The sequence below is a fragment of the Homo sapiens genome, chromosome 21, assembly GCF_000001405.40.
Source record: "Homo sapiens chromosome 21, GRCh38.p14 Primary Assembly".
Taxonomy (NCBI): Eukaryota; Metazoa; Chordata; class Mammalia; order Primates; family Hominidae; genus Homo; species Homo sapiens.
Window position 1 is genome coordinate 26,011,883 of NC_000021.9, and position 18,922 is coordinate 26,030,804.

The 18,922-nt window shown below is 40.7% G+C and overlaps 1 protein-coding gene across 11 annotated transcripts in view, besides 1 other annotated feature; it reads right to left on the reverse strand.

Moving 5' to 3' along the window:
• The window catches only part of APP (amyloid beta precursor protein), a 290,579-nt gene that overhangs the window by 131,333 nt on the left and 140,324 nt on the right, over nt 1-18,922 (reverse strand). For all 11 annotated transcript variants that reach the window (NM_001136131.3, NM_001136129.3, NM_001136130.3 and 8 more), the window contains one exon: nt 9,958-10,160. In NM_001136131.3, the coding sequence (NP_001129603.1) occupies nt 9,958-10,160 (203 nt within the window). The remainder of the gene's footprint in view (nt 1-9,957; nt 10,161-18,922) is intronic.
• Nucleotides 11,471-11,970: an enhancer, noted in NCBI's record as "H3K27ac hESC enhancer chr21:27395669-27396168 (GRCh37/hg19 assembly coordinates)". NCBI's record gives its function as "activates a minimal SCP1, AML or CMV promoter by ChIP-STARR-seq in primed H9 embryonic stem cells {active_cell/tissue: H9 hESC(primed)}" and the evidence as "EXISTENCE:reporter gene assay evidence [ECO:0000049][PMID:30033119]".

An 18,922-nucleotide genomic window follows, 5' to 3' on the forward strand; every position in this document is an offset into this window, starting at 1 on the left:
TTATACCCAATAAGAACATATATAAATTTAAGAAAGAGGCAACCCTACTCTCATAGTTAAAACACCTGAACAGTCTTACCATTATTATCAACTAAATATAGCGTAACCTTTAACATTTCCTCTGCCTTAATCTTTTTTTTTTTTGGACAGGGTCTCACTGTCACCAAGGCTGGAGTGTGGTGGTGTGATCACGGCTCACTGCAGGCTTGACCTCACCTGGGCTCCAGCGACCCTCCCACCTCAGCCTCCTGAGTAGCTGGGACTATAAGCCTGTGACACTACAGCCAAAACAACAATTTTTTTTTTTGGTCTCCCTATGGGGCCCAGGCTGCTTGCAAACTCCTGGGGTCAGGCGATCATCCTGCCTCAGCTTCCCAAAGTGCTGGGATAACAGGTGTGAGATACCATGCCTGGCCTGTAAACACTTTTTTTTTTTTAACACTGTAAAAGTCTCAATGTTTACAATTTGGGCTGCTGTCTTGAAAATTAAGGGATTCTCTTGAGCATCATTTTTATATGAGATTCATTCATTCTTGCCTCCCCTTGACTTTTTACTCTTCTACTAACAGAATCACAAAAAGTCAGGCATATTGGAAGAGGTGGTTGGAAACCAAAGATGAATTTTCAGGAGGGCAAAATGGTTAAAGGCTGAGAGAAGCAGCTGGTTAGGCTGTAAGCCACTCTGCTTTTGGAAACTCATTGTTCTGCAAGGGAACTAAAGATCTCCATTCAAATCCACAGCTTTGTAACCTGCTCAAGGAATCTGACTGTACTTAATCAGACCTATGGCTTGGCTAAAAACGTGTGCCCGGTTGGGTGTGGTGGCTCAAACCAGTAACCCAGCACTTTGGGAGGCCAAGGTGGGTGAATCACCTGAGGTCAGAAGTTCGAGACCAGTCTGGCCAACGTGGTGAAACCCATCTCTACCAAAAATACAAAAATTAGCCAGGTGTGGTTGCACACACCTGTAGTCCCAGCTACTTGGGAAGCTGAGGCAGGAGAATTGAGAATTGCTTGAACCTGGGAGACGGAGGTTGCAGTGAGCCAAGATCGTGCCACTGAATCCCAGCCTGGGTGACTGAGACTCCATGTCAACAAAACAAAACAAAACAAAACAAAACAAAACAAAACAAACAAACAAAAAGGTGCACCCAGCTGGTGCAGTGGCTCACACCTGTAATGCTAGCACTTTAGGAGGCCAAGGCAGGTGGATCACCTGAGGTCAGGAGTTCAAGACCAGCCTGGCCAACATGGTGAAAACCTGTCTCTACTAAAAATACAACAGTTAGCCAGGCGCGGTTGTGTGCGCCTGTAATCCCAGCTACTCAGGAGGCTGAGAGAGGAGACTCACTTGAACCCGGGAGGCAGAGGTTGCAGTGAGCCGAGATCGCGCCATTGCACTCCAGCCTGGGCGACAAACAAAAACTCCATCTTAAAAACAAAACAAAACAAAAAAAGTGTGCCCATGTAAATGTATGCATGTTTAAATGAACCTGAACCTCTGAGTTGCTGGATTTCTTCTTTGAGGTTTGATTTTTTTTTTTCTTAATTGCAAATTCTTGAGTTGAGTACAGTTATTGTGCCTGAGGCATCTGCACACTTTTTTTTTTTTAAAGCAACTGATTTGGGGAAAATATGAGAAAGACTAATATTCTTTAAAAATCTAGTTTCTGGCCTTTAATTAAATTGGACTAAAATTTTATTTTTAATAAATCTAGATATAATTGTATTAAAATGCCTTTCACTGATTACTTCTGCTATTCTATTTTTTTTTAATTGGTAAAGCCAGGTTCTCACTATGTTGCCCAGGCTGGTGTCAAATGTGTATCTTTGTGAATATACTAAACCACTGAATTCTCTCTCACACACACTTCTATATGGCTCTATTCCCTAGTCTCATCACATTTTAAGCAACCTAATTATCTGAGTGGGCTTTCTAGATTGAGACCATTAAACTACACGGAAAGATGCTTGTCCATGTCCTGCTTCACTCTGCCTCTATCAAAGTGTGTATCAAACACCTCGGAATCAATGGCTGCCATGACATGGGGCACAAAATAACAGGCTGTTACCTGTCACATCTATGGTCAGTGCTGACACTAGTTCTCTTGACATCATTAGCAAGCATGCTACAACCCGGGCGAGAGTAGAAGTGCATCCTCTCCATCTTCAAAACACAAAGGTAAAGGCCTGAGGCTTGCTCTATAAGGAGGAGCCATTACCCTTTTGCCCTGTTCCCAAATACTCCCTGGAGCTTTAGTTTCATTTTTGTACAGCATGCTACTACTGAGGCCTCCAACTGAAGTATGTGAGTTCATGTTCGGGTTCACAGCAAGTTAAGTTCACAGTTTACCCCAAGCTTTGTGGAGAGTTAAATATTAATCATAAGTAAAAATCCCGTTAGTGAATTATAGGATACCTTGTAAGTGTCATGTCCATTACAAACAAGTAACAACAGAGGCATGAGAATTAAGCTAAGCTTTGTTTCTTCTCCCCTTGAGATCAATACAAGCTACTCTGATTTACTTCAAGTATGTATTGCATTCATTCTATTTGGTGCTCTATCACCCAGTAAATCCCTATTCTTCCTTTATAATTACTGATACGCCAACTTCTCTGCAACATAGTAGGTGAAAACTTTTGTTCCGGGCTGAGCACTTTCTCTTCTCCATGCTGCCAAAATTCCTTCCTAGGCAGGCCTGAGAGACTCATCCCTCTCAAGGACAATGCAGATATGGCTAGAAGCAACCTGAGCAAGCCACTTTGTTCCTATCTCTGTGCCCCCAGCAACCAATGCCATGTCTGGTACCTACAAGTGCCTTGTGGATATTGGTGAAATGTATAGCAATAAATCAAATGGTACTTCTCCCAGATTAATTGTCACCAGAAGAAGAAAAATAATTTAATTCTGCCAAGGTCAATCACTTAGCCCAATATAAGCAATATTCGGATCAAACCTTTTAGCTTTTATCATCACATGAGACGGTGAAAGAGCCATCTGTATCAGTGTCTCTATCTGTTCACTTAACAGAAGAACTCCCACAAGGCTTAAAATACCTGCAAGAAATAAAACTCTATCTTGAAATGCAGTGGCATCTAATACTATCTTATCCAATTTTCAGCTGGATTTAAAATTTAAGTGCAGATATTTCAATATACAGTGTATATTCACACAAAAAAAATTTAAGCAAGAAATGTTTCTTTTAATCATAACATAATGTTCTCTCTAAATATCAGCTTTATTATACCAATAGATATGGATAGGTTACATTTATGCCTTTTATAATTAAAAGTCAACTTATTGGTTTACCTTTAACATTCCTCATTAGTAGTAAACATTAGTTTGCTAATGTTTCAAATGCAATGGAGGATCGGAATGATGATATAACCATAACTAAGAGAGCAACTAAGGTTAATTGAGCAGTTACTGTATACCAGGAATTATGCAAAGTGTTTCCTATAAATTAATTAATTTAATCCTCACAAAATAGTTAAATATTGGATAGGTCTTATTAATCCCTATTTTACAAAAAGAAGCAATGAGGATTCAAGGTTATTTGATTTATACAAATTTACACAGTTAGTAGCTTGTAAGGCAAAGATTTGAATCTGGACAGCTTGAGTTTGTAAATTGAACACTTACTGGGCATGATGGTAAGCGTTTAACATAAGTTACCTAAAGTCATTCTTACAAGAAACATGCAAGATAACATTACCATCTACACTACACACATAAAAAACAGGTTACTTAACTGGCCCAAGGTCATAAAAATTCTCTCAAACACTATACTAGTCTATCTCTAACCAAAAAAAAACAAACCCTACCTCAAAAGAAATCAACTTGATATGGCAGTATGTGAAATAGAAAGAACTTCACAGTCACCGTCTTATAGTGAGAATCAGGGGTTAGCAAATGGTTTACTGAAAAGGCCAGATAGTAAATGTTTTCAGTTTTGCAGGCAACACAATCTCTTTTGCGATCCTCAACTCTACTTCCAAAACATGAAAACATCCATAGACAATTTTTAAACAAATGGGATGGGCTGTGCCTAATAAAACTTTTGTGTAGAAAACAGGAAAACAGGCTATTTTTGGCCCCAATTTGCTGACCCTTGATCATTACTCTTATTTGTGGACCCCCGATCATTTTTCTATTTTTTTTTTTTGAGACGGAGTCTCGCTCTTGTCGCCAGGCTGGAGTGCAGTGGCGCAATCTCAGCTCACTGCAACCTCCGCATCCCAGGTCCAAGCAATTCCCCTGCCTTGGCCACCTGAGTAGCTGGGATTATGGGCACGCGCCACCATGCCTAGCTAATTTTTTTGTATTTTTAGTGAAGACGGGGTTTCACCATGTTGGCCAGGCTGGTCTCTAACTCCTGACCTCAGGTGATCTGCTCACCTCAGCCTCCCAAAGTGCTGGGATTACAGGCGTGAGCCACAGCGCCAGCCTGATCACTTCAAGTAAAAATTCTAAAAATTCAGAAATGCACAGTGTAAAATAATAGATGAATATATGCCTATATCAAAGGTATATGCATTTACAAGGGAACACAGGTTGAAATGAATTTGTGTGTATTTATAAAGAAAATAAAAAGTGTAATTTTGACATGAGTGTAGCAGAAATATCCTGGCCTATCTAGGTCCAAATTCTGATTTCATCACTTAACCAGTTATGTGACCCAGGACAATTTATTTTATTCTTTTTTTGAGACGAAGTTTCGCTCTGTTGCCCAGGCTGGAGTGCAGTGGCACAATCTCAGCTCACTGCAACCTCCGCCTCCTAGGTTCAAGCGATTCTCCTGCCTCAGCCTCCTGTGTAGCTAGGATTACAGGCGCATGCCACCACACCTGGCTAATTTTTGTATCTTTAGTACAGATGGGGTTTCACCGTGTTAGCCAGGATGGCCTTAATCTCCTGACCTCGTTATCCGCCTGCCTCGGCCTCCCAAGGTGCTGGGATTATAGGCATGAGCCATTGCGCCCAGCCCAGGCCAATTAAAAAAATTTTTTTCGGCCACGCATGGTGGCCTGTATTCCCAGCACTTTGTGGGGGGCGGGGGGCGGGGGGCGGGGGGTGCCGCCAAGGTGGGCAGATCATGAGGTCAGGAAATCGAGACCATCCTGGCTAACATGGTGAAACCCTGACTCTACTAAAAATACAAAAAAATTAGCCGGGCATCGTGGCAGGCACCTGTAGTCCCAGCTACTCGGGAGGCTGAAGCGGGAGAATGGTGTGAACCCGGGAGGCCGAGCTTGCAGTGAGCCAAGATCGCACCACTACACTCCAGCCTGGGTGACAGAGCGAGACTGTATCTCAAAAAAAAAAAAAAAAAAAATTCTTGGCCTTAGAGATCTTGGCTTTAAACGGGGAAGTAAAATTTCCACCACACAGCATAGTTACAAGGTTTAAAGACAGAGAATCACTGCTTTAAAGCACAAGAGGCCTGTTTTCCCGGCTACTTGGGAGGCTGAGGTTTGAACTCAGGAGTTTGAATCCAGCCTAGGAAACATAGCAAAATCCCGTGTCAAAAAAAAAAAAAAAAAAATTTAAATTACATTAAAGGGCAAGAGTGGTGACCGTGAAAATCTATATCTGCAACAAAGGCTTCAAAAATCTGCCAGTCTCCCAGGAGGTAAAATGCTGTCTGCTCTGCCCCAACGATGCCTTCCACAGTAGCAAAGAGCCTAGCCATCAGCAGGGGTACAACGAATAGTTGCTGAATAAATGGAACATAAGGAAGAAATGTCCAGTTCCTCTGGACAGGGCACAATTGGCTAGATTAAATAAAAGATTATGCCATTTATTACAATACCCATTTCAATCAGAATTTAGAATTTATGGCTCAATCAAAACTACCCTGATATCTCTGGTTTCTGAAGTACAATCCCTTCTTGAAGAACAGAAAATTAGGAGCAAGTATCTAAATACACCACTGTTGTACTCAAATCGGTAATGGCTTATTCCACTAGACCAATAACCAATAATATCCAAGTATTTTTTTAACAACCAAAGATGACAATAAGCCCCCAAAACCAGATAGATCTTGCAATCGTGTGCTCACTTTTATTTTTATTTTTTTGAGACAGGGTCCCACTCTGTTGCCCAGGCTGGAGTGCAGCGGATGTGCTTACTTTTAAACAATAATTTTATTCTACTGGAATCAGTGACAGAGAACAGACATCTTCTCATTTGGGTATCATCGATTCTAACACAATATGGCAGAGAAGATTATGACTACGCTAAAAGTGTCTTATTTTTCTTCCCTCCATTTCTTTCCGGTTTTAACGGGTTATGAAATTATTGAGTTTTTTATGAAGCACATTAAGGACTGGTATCAGTAGCAATATGTTGGTAATGATGACAATTTTCTTAGAAAGGATGGCTGTAAATCACATTTTGTTCCAGGTACTGAAACACTAACACTGAAAACAAGATTGTAAGCCTCCCTGCAGTATCTCATCTTTGCAAGTCACTTCTAATTTTTATGTTGAACACAGAAGCAACCTACTTGTAATTAGAGTTTTACAAAATGAGTAATCACCTATGGCGTTGCCATTGCTCTCAATTAGGGAAGAACCACAAGTCACCTTTTGTAACAGTGAGGAGGAGGAAAAGGACTCTTTGCAGCTGACCCCTTTAACGTTACCCTCTAAAACATCTACTTCTTTACTGGAATTAGCTACAAGCACAAAAAAATTATCTCGCATGGGCACAACTGACCATAACATGTTTCTGTTAGGCCCCCTTTCCCAGGAAGACTTGCCTCAATTAGAGCTTTTGTTCAGGAGTTTGAGGTGGAATGAATGGACCTGCATTAAAGATTCCTCTATTTCTGGGGCATTAACAGTTGCTATCTCTCAATGACCAGGTATCTTGCTTTCAGAAGGTTGCTTTTGTTGCTCTTCTTGCCAACAAAATTATTAACTTGTTATTTTTTAAGGTTCATTTCTTTTTTGCCTTTAGCCTGGAGTGTTTTGTTTATGAAATTCTTTTAACTGCCTTCGTCTTTCTACAGGAAATAAAACAATACAACATCTCTGTGTTCCGTCTTAATATCAAATAATACTACCTGCAAAACTCAAGCAAAAAGAACTGGACTAATGCAGACGATAATGAGACCAATTTATCTCAAGCAAATTGTCTTGTTCTAGAATATGGGCCTAAGTTTATGTGGCATCCTCTCATTGTACTGCATAACTGATGTCACTCCTTGTTCACCTGTTACCTCAACAGTACTAGCATCAAAACAAAATCTCTTTATTGTCTCCTGGAAAAATCTGCAGCGCACAGTAGCTTCTGAATTAATATTTGTTAATTAATCACCTGCAGTTAATGCCCATCTTTGCCAGCCTGGCATTGAAGGTCTCTATATTTTGGTCCCAACCTAAAAGACATCTGCTCTAGCTTAAATTGGACCAATCCTGTCTCCTAAATATGCCTTTCCATGGCACCACATTTGTTTTGCTAGTCCTGATGACTCTACAGCAAAATCCACTGGTAGACACACCACCCACCCACACTTTTGGCTCTAGTTCAAATGTCATGCTCTCCATGGAACCTTCTCTGATCAATCCAGAAGTTCCCTCTTACTCTCGGAGGCAGGTTCTGTGTTCACATTTCTTACAACACAGATGGCTTTGTACTTCTTTGACTTCTATTTCCTAAGAGATTTTAACATCCACTAGGGTTAGCTGGTCTGTGTGTGCTCATCATCCATTCCACATGGCCTAGCAAAATGGCTTGTACCAAGCAGGTGCTCAAAATCTAATGTTTCAAGTAAAATGGGACACTAAACTGGTTCTATTAAACAGCCCAGCTTGATGGAGATTCACCAAGGACTTTCAGTCCCACTGCAGGCTGCTAGCTGCTGTAATTTGTATTCACACTTCATTTAGGTTTCGAGAAGAGAAGCCCTGAAAAGCTGTCCTTCCCTGCTACAGGCATCAGGCTAACAAGTTCATTTGACCAGATCTGCCATAGTTGGTCCTAACAGTTGTATGAAAAACACCCTGAGAAAGCATGTCTCAGTATTTGAAAAATGGTGGTTTAAACAAAATGCGCATTTACTAGCACATTTACTTATGTGCTAAAGTGAGTAAGAAACTGTCATTAAGTAGGGAATGATAAACTTAATCCATCTTGCACTCTGTTCTTTTTTTTCAAAGAACATGTAAAACTTTCAATAAATTTTAAGCTAACGCTGAGTGTTTAATTCAGAATAATCTCAATTTTAAAAGCTCAAGTTAAAGAAATGTAGAACCTCAAAAATACTGTGTTAAGTGAAAGAAGTCGGACACAAAAGACCATGTATTATATGATCCCACTTATAATAACAGTCCAAAAAAGGGCAAATCTATAGAGACAGAAAGTAGATTAGTTGTTGCTTGGGGCTAGAGGTGAGTAGAGGGCTTAACTGGGAGTGAGTATGTGTGATCTTACTGGAGTGACGAAAATGTTCTAAGATTAGATTATGGTGATAGTTGCACAGCTTGGCAAATTTCTTAAAGCCGCTGAATTATATACTTAAAAGCAAATGAAACTTATATGTAAATTACACCTTAATAAGGTAAAAAATGCAACAAAGGGAAGAAAATACTATAGTGACAACTATGAATATAGTTGAGGGAGACAAAATAGCCCATGTTAAGCTCTAATAGAACAATAAATCTGAAATCATTAAACTTTAGCAAAAAGTGAGAGAAAGCCACTTTTTGTAAATGCTGTAACATTTGTGGTTGACCTTTATAAGTATTTGCAGTACATTAAAATTCAGTAAGTACATATTCATTCAATCTAGCTCTAGAAGCATCTTTTACTATCTGCCAAGCAGATGGCAGATATGAAATGCAGAACTCTTTAAGGAACAAATGCATACTCTTTAAGGAACTCAATCCAACAGTTTACTCGTTTCTGTAACATTTGGTCATTTAATATCAACTGAATGTTTGTTTTTATTTCATGGAGACAAGTATGACCTTTAGTTCTTTTAGTTCACAATATTTGCAACACAAACATTAATTCAATAGAGAAAGTCTAAGACATTAATACTATATTTACTTCTTGAAGAAAGCACTGCCGTACTTCCCAATAAAACAATGTAAACTCAACATAAATCACCTCTGTTAAAATTCATAGCATAAAATAATGCGATACTCACCAAATCTTTTTTTTTTTTTTTTTTTTTGAGACAATCTTGCTCTGTCACCCAGGCTGGAGTGCAATGGTGTGATCTCAGCTCACTGCAACCTCCGCCTCCTGGGTTCAAGCAATTCTCCTGTCTCAGCCTCCCAAATAGCTGGGATTACAGGTGCGTGCCACCACGCCTGGCTCATTTTTGTATTTTTAGTAGAGATGGGTTTTCACCATGTTGGCCAGACTGGTCTTGAACTCCTGGCCTCAGGTGATCCGCCTGCCTCGGCCTCCCAAAGTGCTGGGATTACAGGTGTGAGGCACTGTGCCTGGCCCAAATCTCCTTCTTTAATGAAATCTAATCACAACTACTCACTCAACTAAGATTTATCGAAACTACAAGCCAGGCACTCTGTGCAATACTGAATAAAATCAAGTCCTTACCCTCAAGGAGCTCATCGTCTAGGTGGTAACAGACAATATTATATAACAAACACTCACTGCCAAAGGAATACCAAGGAGTCACCTAACTCAGTGTTTGTCAAATTAGATGACTACCTGGTTGGGCGGAGTCTTGTAGAATTAACTTGGGATTTGCCAAGCAGCATATACAAGGTACAAAACAAACTGTATAATAAAGATTTCACATTATTTGAAATTGTTTGCTTGTTAAACCAAAAAAATTTCACAAGCATAAGAAGCCTTTTGGAAAAAAAAACATGTTTTTGATTGGGGAAGGCAGTGGTGCTAGGGTGGATATTTCCAACTCTGGTATTACGCTTTCTTTTCCTTGGGGGTGGGGGGAATCCAAGCAAATGGTGGATTACCTCGAACCACCTCTTCCACAGACTCTGTGGTGGTGGTGGTGGTGGTGGCAATGCTGGTGGTTCTCTCTGTGGCTTCTTCGTAGGGTTCCTCAGCCTCTTCCTCTACCTCATCACCATCCTCATCGTCCTCGTCATCATCGGCTTCTTCTTCTTCCACCTCAGCCACTTCTTCCTCCTCTGCTACTTCTACTACTTTGTCTTCACTGTGAAGGCAAACACAAATAACAGAAAAAGTCAATTAAACACATTTCAGGGAAGGAAAAGAAAAGTCGTCCATATGGAATTTTGGCAATTTGAGAAGAAACACACCCAAAACTTCAATTCAGCAGGTCTAAGTATAAATCCCAGCTCAGTGGGTCTGCAAAAATTTTTATCCTTGGGGACAGTTCTTAGTTTCTGCAGTTGCTAAAAGGGGATGCCATGAGTCTAACCACAGGACATTCTGGAAAAGGGAAAATTACGGAGACAATAAAAAGATCAGCGGTTGCCAGTGGTTCAGGGGGAGTGGGGAAGGGATGAATAGGTGGAGTAGAGAGGATTTTTAGAAACTACTCTGCACGATACTGTCATAAGTAATAATAGATACACAGCATTAAGCATTTGTCAAAACCAAGAGACTATACTACACAAAAAGTCGCCTCTCATGTTAAAACAGGAATACTGGTTAATAATAGTGTATCGATATTGGTTCAAACGTACCATACTAAGGCAAAATGTTAATCCAGGGGAAACTGTTGGGGAGTGGGGAAGTGAGAGGTAGAGGGAACTTTTTGTAGTTTCTGCTTGAATTCTTTGTAAACCTAAAACTGCTCTGAAAAATGTAGTCCATTATAAAAAGTGGGGTGGTGGATATCAAAACTGAGTTTGCCGTATTATGGGAATTACTTCTCATAGTGCACATACAAGAGCCGCAACGCATTGCACGGTAGCGGATACTCAGTATATGCTGGTGGAAATTGGTTTAAAAACTGCAACTGAGAGCTTAAACTGGACACACAGGTGGAAGATGAAGCTGACTTAAGTAAACCTGCAATGCCCTGTGGTCAGGGATGCCTGCTGGAACTCACACAGGTGGAAGATGAAACTGACTTAAGTAAACCTGCAATGCCCTGTGGTCAGGGATGCCTGCTGGAACTCACACAGGTGGAAGATGAAACTGACTTAAGTAAACCTGCAATGCCCTGTGGTCAGGGATGCCTGCTGGAACTCACACAGGTGGAAGATGAAACTGACTTAAGTAAATCTGCAATGCCCTGTGGTCAGGGATGCCTGCTGGAACTATTTAGTTGCGTACCCTATGGTTACTAACTGCTTATGTTTTGTAGAAAACCAAATATTTCAGTGGTTCTCAAATTTCAGTGAGCATCAGAATCACCTGGAAGGCTTATTGAAACACAGATCACCTACCTGCTAAATGTGGTGGCTCATGCCTGTAATCCCAGCACTGTGGAAGGCTGAGGTGGGAAAAAACCTAGAGGCCAGGAGTTTGAGACCAGCCTGGGCCACACGGTGAGACCCTGTCTCCAAAAAAATTAAAAAAAAAAAAAAAAAAAAGCCAGGCATGGTGGTGTGCACCTGTAGTTCCAGCTACTCAGAAGGCTGGGGCGGGAGGATTGCTTGAGCCCAGGAGTTCGAGGCTGCTGTGAGCTATGACTGCATCACTGCATTCCAGCTAGGGAGACAAAGACACTGCCTCCTTAAAAACAAACAAAAACCAGCCAGGCATGGTGGTGTGCACCTGTAGTTCCAGCTACTCAGAAGGCTGGGGCGGGAGGATTGCTTGAGCCCAGGAGTTCGAGGCTGCTGTGAGCTATGACTGCATCACTGCATTCCAGCCAGGGAGACAAAGACACTGTCTCCTTAAAAACAAACAAAAACCAACACAGATCACCAGGTGCCTGTGGCAGTTTCTAATGCAGCTCCAGAGTTTCTGAATCATGAGGCCTTGGTGGGGCCTGAGAATGTGCATTTCAAATTCCCAGGTAATACTGATGCTGGTGGTCAGGGGAAAATATTCTGAGATCCACTGCAATATGCTGAGAATAATGGCAAGAGATAACCAGTAACTCAGTGAAATTGGGAAGAGGATCAGAAATATTTATGGTATTAAACATTTACATGCTGATGCATCATAGTTTGTAAAAAATAAGCAAATTTGGATGGCAAAAGAAGGGCATGTCTAGAACAAAATTAAAAAGGCCTATTAGGAAATCCTTGTGGAAATCATGTACCTGTCAAGGCAGGCATGGTTGACAGCATTTGAATATCTAATAGTAAAAGCCTATCGTATACCACCTAGCAGGACTAGAGGAATAGATGTCCTTGATCAGATCACAAAACCAATACAGGAGAAAGACCTAGATGTGGCAGGGGGTTTCAACCTTTCTGGGGCAACTACCACAGGTCTATTCGAGAAGTACCATAGTAATAGAATTAAAAGCTGCTATGCTGACATTATAATGTACCCAGAAGGAAAAAAAAAAGCGAGAGGGAGAAAGCAGAAGGGAATTATTACCACAGAGCTGATTCTGGCCAACAAGGAGAAGCTCATCATTGGGAAAAGTGATAGGAACCCGGGATTTGTAGCCACAGGAAGCCTTGGACTCGTAGTGAGAGCACAGCATTATGTAGGAAATCAGATTCCAAACACGTGAGACAAGCGAACACTATGATTCCATGATCTACGACAATAGAAAGGAAGACTCCTCCATAAACCTGAAAGGCTTTCAAAGTCTAACAGGACCGCCATAAGTAGTTTTGCTGAGAGTGAAAGGGAAAGATATGTAAAGAGATTAATCCATCAATGGCAGGAATTCTCTGATTACCTCAGGATTTAAAGCATGTGTTACACAAGTTGTATAAAGATGTGTATGATCCCCATGGAACACCTGACTCTGATTACGTAGGATACAAGAATAGTATAAAGGGCGTTTATAAAAGTTTCAAAAAAATGTGTATGACCCCCAAGTGGAACGCCTTTCTAACTCTGATTAAATATGATGTAAGGATATTAAGTGAAGACATCCGAAGAAGTTTAGCATGTGGCTAAAGAATAAAAAGAAACTGATTAAGCAGAATAATTTATTAATAGCAACTTACTCATATGTTAATAAATGAAGTGTTAATACAGAGAAAATCCTAATCAGTTATTGTAACATTTCCACAAGACTAGGACGAAATAGGTGAAAAGAGAAACAGAAAACACTGGCACTGAAAATCAGATGTTGGAAGCCTTTATCTCCTCGTAGAAATAAATGAGGTGAAATAACTGACTTTTTTTTTTGACTGCCCAAATTATTGCACGAAAGTTTACTACGTGGGGCTACATTTCAAAAGAATCCTTAACAGTTGCTCAGCTGCCCTGAGCTTCTGCCTTTGCATTTTTCTGTAGGATCTCACTGTTGTATTACTGGTGAATCAAAGAAAGATGACCTGATGCATGTCATCAGTTAATTTACCGTGTTTGAGATCTCTTACTTATTCAATCAAATCATGGGCACTAACTAGCGCTGTTTTCCAATTTAAGTGGAAAATTCAGGGAAAGTCAGGAAGAAAAATCAAACCAGTATTCTCTTTAAATCATGATGTATACACGTGATCTTGAACCATGACTGGAATGACGATGTCCAAGTGTACCATCCAGGGTTTGGACAGCACCGTGTTTCCAGGTGGGATGGTGAAAACATGACCCTGGGTATCCCCAGGTTCCTTCTCCAGGCTTCTTTGTTATTACTTGGATGTGGCCCTTAAAGCTCTGAATAGAAACCATGTTTGTAAAAACAGCTGTTTAGTGTGATCTGCATTCTGGTATGTGTCTAGCCGTGAAAAAGAGTGAATTATATGCCCATCATCCATCCCTGCATCTGCCTGAGCAATTTACTGGCATAATAACCAGGAACGGAGACACGTAATAAATAGTTCAACCGGCTAAGGAATTAAATTACTTGGCCTAAGAGAACTCAGGTCCAAGTTCTTATTACCATAGCTTTGATTTCTGGAATTAAATTTAGATGTCCATGAATTCAATTATTCATTTGGACACTATTTAAAACAAGAGCACACGGTTTTGTTTGAATAATGCTGCATCTTCCCAAAGAATGCCAAACACAACAACATTACAACTTTTAACTGCAGTTTTCATGAACAGCTAGAAACACTGAAAGGAAAAAAATGACTTTTCCACCACTTCTTCAAATGCTGGACAGACTGTTGTCCTGTGGACTTGTTTTGAAAAGCTCATCACAGTTTAAGGAGTTGCAAGGGAGGAACAGTTTATGGAAATATAAAGCTGAGCATCATAAAACAATTTCCTTACAAACAATCAAATAACAACTCACAATAAAATAAACGCTTGGCAACATAGTGGAACATTCATACCACATTCGCAGACTTTAGTGGCTATCAATTTATAGTGGGTGGCTTTTACAGCTTTTAAACACCAATAACAAACATTTTTACAGAACAAGGGAACCATCTGAAAATGCTGACCATCCCCAGAGTATCTGAATTTAATAAGGTCAAAGGGACATTCCTACGAGGAAATAAATCACTGATGATAAAATTTTATGTGTCAGCATGCGAGATTTTACTTGGATGAAGGAGAAATGACATCACAAAGGTGACTCTCCTTCTGTTTCTAACTAAAGCTGACCTTGATATAATTCCACATGCAGGTGCCGCCTGATAAGTCCCTTTACAGAGTGAAAGATTTTGATTCACACACCAATTTTCATTTCTGTTTATTAAAGTCATGCCAAAAAAGTCACCATTTGTATTTTCTAAGAAAGCCATATGACATTCTAGAAATGGCAAAATTATAGACAGTAACAGATCAGTGGCTTGGAAAGGTTAAAGGCAAGAGAGGGTCGAACAGGAGGAACACAGAGGATTTGGGGGATAGTAAAAGTACTCAGTATGACACTACAATGGTGGGTACATGTCATTAGACAGTTTTCCAAACTCACAGAATAAACAATGCTGAGAGAATGCTAATGTAAACTATGGACTTTGGGTGATAATAATGGTGTCAGTGTAGGTTCACTGATTGTAACAAATCGCTCTAAGGGGGACGCTGATAATGGGAGAGGCTGTGCAAGTGTATGAACAGGGAGTATATGGGAGAATCTCAGTACCTTCTGCCTAATTTTGCTGTGAACCTAAAACTGCTCTAAAACAATAAAGTCTATATTTATTCTTTCACAGTCTCTGTTAAGACGGACTTTTTTCTTCTTGCTACAGATAAACAGGGAGGAAATGACAGAGAGAAAGCTCTGATTCTCATGGTTATGTGAATATGGACTATCATGAGATCCAACCTACTTGCACTGATGAGGGAAGAGGGAAGACAACCAATGTCAGTTCCTGAAATGCAACCAACCAGGGGAAAGCTCAGCAGGAAGAGGTTCAGACTCTTCCTCTGTGGATATGAAAATGGGAAAAAAGAGTCTAGAGGCTCCCAGAGTCAGAAGAGAGAGAAAATACAGTAGTTTTTTTCAAGAAGATAAACAGACGGTTCTCCTTCTCTCTGTCTCAACTCTCCAAACTGCCAGAGTCTAAACTGGAAGGTACAATGGCTGGATAAGTCAGTTTGTCCGAAAGGAAAGCAGTTTTTGAAATTACTGCTACTAAATTAGGAAAATGTTTCCGGGGAGGGAGGGCAAAGTAAGAAATAGCCAGTACTTCTCCCGCATAAAGGCACTGTTAGAAGCGAAACACAAGGGGACACATCACCTAATTCTATTTGAATTAAATATGAAAACAAGCAAACTGCAGGCAAATAGAACTCAGGGGAAAGGCCAGTAACTGGCAGGGGCCAGGAGAGAGGATTCTAGGGGCCAGCAAGTCTCTGTGTTCTGGTCCGGATGCTGGCTATCTAGTTGTGTGGTCTTAAAAAACTTTGCTTACTTGCATTACCTCTTATGTGTACTTCTCTCTAAATAAATCAGTAAAAAGGTTGAAAAGGGTTTCTTGTTACTTGCAGCTAAAGGCATAAGCCCACCTGGGGCCCTAGGTTTAAGGCCTCCAGCTTTAGGAAGATAACCACATGACTGGACTACCAAAAATTCATGACTCAGGCCTGAGGAGGTGGCTCATGCCTGTAATCCCAGCACGTTGCGGGGCCGAGGCAGGCAGATCACTTGGGGCCAGGAGTTCGAGACCAGCCTGGCCAACATAGTGAAATTCCGTCTCTACTAAAAATACAAAAAATTAGCTGGACGTGGGGGTGCACGCCTGTAATCCCAGCTACTTGGGAGGCTGAGGCATGAGAATCACTTGAACTCAGGAGGCAGAAGCTGCATTGCACTCCAGCCTGGGTGACAGAGTGAGACTCTGTCTCAAAAAAAAAAAAAAAAGGAATAAATAAATAAAGTCATGACACAGCTGATTAAGAATGAGCTATAAATCACAATCTTGATCTGAAATTAGGCTATATCATCATTCTTACACATTTAATGAATACTTATTCTGAGTGAGACAATTCACACTAACTGCTGTATGAGTAACAGACATACTGCAGATTAAACGCTTCAGAAATTCAACAGAGAAGTGATTGTTGCGAGCCAGAGGCATCTGAGTTGGCCGGAAGTGATAGGTGGCTGTGGGGATGAGGCAGGAATATCCACATAATGCACAAGTGGAATAAGAAGTAAATAAAATATAATGAAATTTTACACAGGCACTGAGTTTTAACAGTGAGGAAGGGTAAACTGCAGAGACACGGGGATTCAGGTATTTTTTTTCTTTAGCCAATGGATAAATATTTGAGTTGAAAGGCATATGTACAAATTGATGATAATGAGCAAAAAAGTGGCAATGCATTCATTCATTCATCCATTGAATCATTCCATTAAGTACCTCTCTAAGCCAACCCCTAGTAATTCAATCAACAATATTCGCTGTGCTTTACCAAGTGCCAGTACTATTCCAGGTAGTGAAGATAAAGCACTCAATTTCTTGGAATCTATCTATTAGTTGGGGAGGTGTAATATGAGCAAGAAAAAAAATTATGGAAAAGTACTATAGGGAAAGGAGATGGGGCTAATTGCTAATGAATGACTATGATAGATGTGTGCCAGGGATGGGTAGCATTTCAAACAGGGTGGTCAGGGAAGGGCCCCACGGAAGAGCCATGTGAACTAAAAATGCTGAAGTCGGGCACGGCAAAACCAAGAGAGTGCATGGATGGCTGAGGCAGGGGTAAGAGCAAGTGCAAAGGCCCAGGTGTGAGGAAGAGATTAGCACGTTCAGCAAAAACAACAAAGGGCCAGTGAGCTTAGGGAGTAGCAGATGAGGGAGGAAGTATAAGATCTGGTGGTGGAGACAGACAGGCATAGTGTTACCCAGTACGGTTACATTTCTTACAGCAACTGGAACGACTCAATGAGATTTAAGTTGCAATGATGTCTCTGGCTGCTGGGCACAGAATGGTCTCCAGGGAAAACATGAATGGATGCTGGGAAGCTGGACACTGGGCCAGGAGCTAGGGGTACACTGGAAAGCAAAGGTGGCTCACAAGGCAAGTAGCCAAAGGCCAGACACTGACCTCAGCACCTGTATAAATGCAAAATTACTGCCCTGATAACAATTACATACAGCCAGAAGACCCAAAAGAGTGAGTGCTAGTGTGTCTAGTGAGGCAGAGATTCCAGGTGTCTAGTGAGGCATGACTGAAATGTGACCCAAAGAAGGTCCGAAGTGAATGAAGTCCAGGGGCCAAAGATAGCTCTCCACTAGGCAGGGTGGGTAGAGCATGTGCAAAGGCCCGGTGACAGGAGGGAGGGAAACCTGAGCACCTGAAAGGGAATTGGCTGACAAGAACAGAAAGTGGGCTCCAAGAATGGCAAGTCAGCAGTGGCACAGAGCAGGTCTTGGCAAACTGCAACCCGCAACTTGTTCTTGTACATCCTGTGAGCTAAGGGTGGGCTTTGCATTTTTTAAAGGATTATAAAAAGAAAAGAAAGGGGGTAAAAATGACAGCAATATGTGACAGAGATTGTATGCGACCTGTAAGGCCTAAATACGGATTGTAAAAATGACCATTTAAAGTCAAACCAACTTCTCTCAACACATGCTCCTGTAAACCCTGCCCCACTTACGTTAGTGAATTAGTGAATTTCTAAAAAAAAATTACTGAAACAAGCAAAGAGATCCGAGAAGCACTAAAGCCCAGCTTTTGTGTAAACCAGCAGTTCCTGGGCAGAACCTTTAAAAGACAATCTCTCTTTACTCTGCTATCTCAGTACACACTTAGGGTAACATGAATATCCTAGCAATAGAGCAACAATCTAAACAATACCCCTGGGACATGATATAAGACAAATCCAAGGAGTGGACAGTTTATAGGAAAACTGGTACAGCTTCTTCAGCAAGTCAGTGTCAGGATATAAAAAGTGCTATTCTGAATCCTAAGAATTAAGGATGTAAGATGCTGGCCCTGGTGCCGGATAGGATGTGAAATGCATAACCTGTGAAGGACCTTTCTGGAACTCAGGGAGAATCTGAATATGGACATGGTATCCAATGGTACTAAAAATTTATGTTAATTTTGTGGGTGAGATGGTATCATCTGGACTCTGTAGAAAAATGTTCTTAGATTTTAGAGACATATACTGACATCTTAAATATGCTTCCTATCTGAACTTTTCTTTAAAATATCTTGGCATCATAAAAAGTATGTTTAAAGGGGGAAAATGATATTCTGGCAAGACTTAAATTTGGAATATAATTACAGTAAAAGGCTAAATTGCTTTTTTAAAGGCTATCTTGGAGGCAAGAAAAGTCATATATTATCAAAAGCAGATTATTGTTCTGACAGCTTTATGAACCAACTAGAATTAAGGAGAAGCACCTAAGGTCATAAAAAGTTTTGGAGTCATTTTAAATTCTTGATATGTGAAAAAGTTTGGTTAATCAGATGCTAGGCCAGAAAACTGTGAACGAGCAAATTCCTCATGTCCAAAGGTTT